This window comes from Homo sapiens, chromosome 7, assembly GCF_000001405.40.
Source record: "Homo sapiens chromosome 7, GRCh38.p14 Primary Assembly".
Taxonomy (NCBI): domain Eukaryota; kingdom Metazoa; phylum Chordata; class Mammalia; order Primates; family Hominidae; genus Homo; species Homo sapiens.
Window position 1 is genome coordinate 134098471 of NC_000007.14, and position 3170 is coordinate 134101640.

At 47.0% G+C, this 3170-nt stretch overlaps 1 protein-coding gene across 2 annotated transcripts in view; it reads left to right on the plus strand.

The window, feature by feature from the left end:
* The window catches only part of EXOC4 (exocyst complex component 4), an 847874-nt gene extending 845393 nt beyond the window's left edge, over nucleotides 1-2481 (plus strand). For both annotated transcript variants that reach the window (XR_007060126.1, XR_007060125.1), the window contains one exon: nucleotides 1718-2481. The gene's annotated coding sequence lies outside the window, so the exon portion shown is untranslated. The remainder of the gene's footprint in view (nucleotides 1-1717) is intronic.

A 3170-nucleotide genomic window follows, 5' to 3' on the forward strand; every position in this document is an offset into this window, starting at 1 on the left:
AATGTGGCTGAGCAGGCTGTGAAAAGAAAGCTAGGTCTGCATCTTAAATAGCAGATTAACTGCTCTGCATGGGAAAGTTGCTGGGGTGGAGGGGTGGGGACAGCTGAGAACATCAGTACTTCAGGGGTAGCAGTTGGAGGTACTGCCTCTCTAGCAGTTGGAAGTGAAGAAATCCTCACAGCTATCTTCAGAACTCTACCTCTGGTTCTGGGGACAACTGTCATGGCAGGGACACATCACATTCAGCCAGTTCCCAGGGCCAACAAGAGCTCTCACTGAAGTATTTATGCTTCTTGTCCTCCATCTTCCAAGAGAGATGAGACATGGGTGTGAGAAAGAGAAAACCTTTAGAAAATAGCTTGGAGCCACGTCCAACACAGTGCCTGACTCAGATGCAAAGCCAGTGTTTTGTGCCATCAAGTATGGTAAAGATGTAAGAGTTTCTTAGGCCAGAGGCATTCAAGGAGGGATAGAGTTTATGTCAAGCTTGGGGTAGGGAGGTGGGGAAAGGGTCAAGGGTGTTTCCAGAAGGAGATGGCATTTGGGCTTGGCCTAAAGGATGGTGTTATGAGTTGAACTGTGTCCTCCGCCAAAATGCATATTTTAAGTCTTAACCCCCCAGTACCTCAGAATGTGACCTTATTTGGAATTAGGGTTATTGTAGATGTAATTAGTTAAGATGAGGTCATACTGGAGTAAGGTGAGCCTCTAATCCCATAAATGGTGTCCTTGTAAAAAGGGTGATGGGACTCAGGACATGCTACCAACATTGTGGCACTTTGGCATTTGAGAAAACAGCAGAAGCAGGAAGGTCATTTTCACCATCCGCCTCATGCTTTGTCCCTGAAGCAGGCCATAAAACCTAGAAAGGCCACTCTCTGACCTCCCTCTCTTCTCTCCTGAAGACCGTCATGTGACAGCTGTCCTGTCTTATACCTAGAGGGAAGGAAAGTCACACAGGGACACCAAGAAGGAGCTGAACAAACAGGCCTTCTAGTTCCCCCCAGTGTATTACCATTAGATGGTTGCCTTTGCTCCTCCCATCACACTTCTTTTTTTTTTTTTTTTTTTTTTTTTTTTTGAGACAGTCTCGCTGTCACCCAGGCTGGAGTGCAGTGGCACGATCTTGGCTCACTGCAGGCTCCGCCCCCCGGGGTTCATGCCATTCTCCTGCCTCAGCCTCCCATGTAGCTGGGACTACAGGCACCCGCCACCTCGCCAGGCTAATTTTTTGTATTTTTAGTAGAGACGGGGTTTCACCGTTTTGCTCTTGTCACCCAGTCTGGAGTGCGATGGCGAAATCTCAGTTCACTGCAACCTCCACCTCCTGGGTTCAAGTGCTTCTCCTGCCTCAGTCTCCCAAGTAGCTGGGATTACAGGTGCCCACCACAACACCCAGCTAATTTTTGTATTTTTAGTAGATACAAGGTTTCGCCATGTTGGCCAGGCTGGTCTCGAACTGCTGACCGTAGGTGACCCACCCGCCTCAGCCTCCCAAAGTGCTGGGATTACAGGCATGAGCCACTGCACCTGGCCCTCCCATCACACTTCTGCACAGGTTTCCCTGGTTCTTTGGGTCTTCATTTCTAAAGGCTACCATGTCACATAAAACTTAAAAAAAATATGCATTTTTCTTGCTGATATGTCTTTTTGTTATAGTGGTCTCAGCCATGAACCTTGTTAATGGGTGAGGAAAATACCTTTTTCTCTCCTACAGGGGGAAATTTGGAGACAGACACATACACAGGGAGATGCCGTGTGAAGACTTGAGTTCTGCTGCCACAAGCCTAGGAACCATTAGAAGCCAGGGAAGAGGCCTGGAACAGCTCCTTCCCCAGCACCTTCAGAGGGAGCAAGCCTCTACCAACAACCTGATTTTGAACTCCTCGCCTCCAGAACTGTGAGACAATATATTTCTGTTGTTTTAAGCCACCCAGCATGTGGTACTTGGTTACAGCAGCCCTGGCAAACAAATACAGGTTTGTAGGACTGTATCTTTAGAGATGAAAAGGAGAACCTCAAGCGGAAGGAAGAGCATGAGCTTACTGGGGTAAGAATATGTATTTATATATTGAGTGCATTCAGCAGTTCGGTTCTACTGGAACCACGGTCTGTAAAGGAGCCATGTATGGGAAGGTTATTGTGGCCAAGTAACAGAGGCTTTGAATGCTGGAAAAGACATCTAAATTTTGGAGCCAGGCACGGTGGCTCACGCATGTAATCCCAGCACTTTGAGAGACCGAAGCAGGTAGATCACGAGGTCAAGAGATAGAGAGTATCCTGGCCAACATGGTGAAACCCCTTCTCTACTAAGAATACAAAAACTAGCTGGGCGTGGTGGCATGCACCTGTAGTCCCAGCTACTTGGGAGGCTGAGGCAGGAGAATCGCTTGAGCCTGGGAGGTGGAGGTTGCAGTGAGCCGAGATTGCAGCACTGCACTCCAGCCTGGTGACAGAGCAAGACTCCATCTAAAAAAAAAAAAAGACATCTACATTTTTATCTGGCAGAGTTTGCTTCTTTTGTGTTAATATTTACTTCTATCTATCTTGGCCTAAAATGATTTGAGGTGGCTGACCTTAGCATGTAGATCATGGGGAACCAGGTTGTGTGCCAGGAAGTGACTTGATCGGCACCTGCACAGGAAGATGATCTCGGATGCAACTCCTTGGAGAAACAGAGTCAAGCAGCAGCCCAGGTGAGAAGCTTGGCCATCATCTGAAAACTATGCAAAGCAGGTCTGAACTAGGAAAAGGGCAGAAGGTCAGAGAAGAGGGGATAAAGACAAGAGGTGAAATGATAGGTTGACCTGGCAAATGCTTGCATGACACAGGAAGAGAGAGAAAGGAATTGAATGGAACGTGGTCAACATTTGAGCCTGGTGACTGTGAGGACAGTGGTGCCATTTGCAGATTTAGGAGGAAGCATCACGTTGGGGAGGTGGAGGAGTTGGTTTTGTGCACATTGACTCTGAGGTGGTGGAGGGGTCCAGCAGGCAGTTGGACTTATGAGAAAATGCACCATTATTCATCCAAACAAGATAATTGAATTTTTGAAGGCAGCTAAAAAATAATGGTTCTACGCTACAAGAAATGAAGTGAAATGGTAAAACAACAACAACGACAAAAAAACATACACACACACACACAAAAAGCAAAAAACAAAATAACCC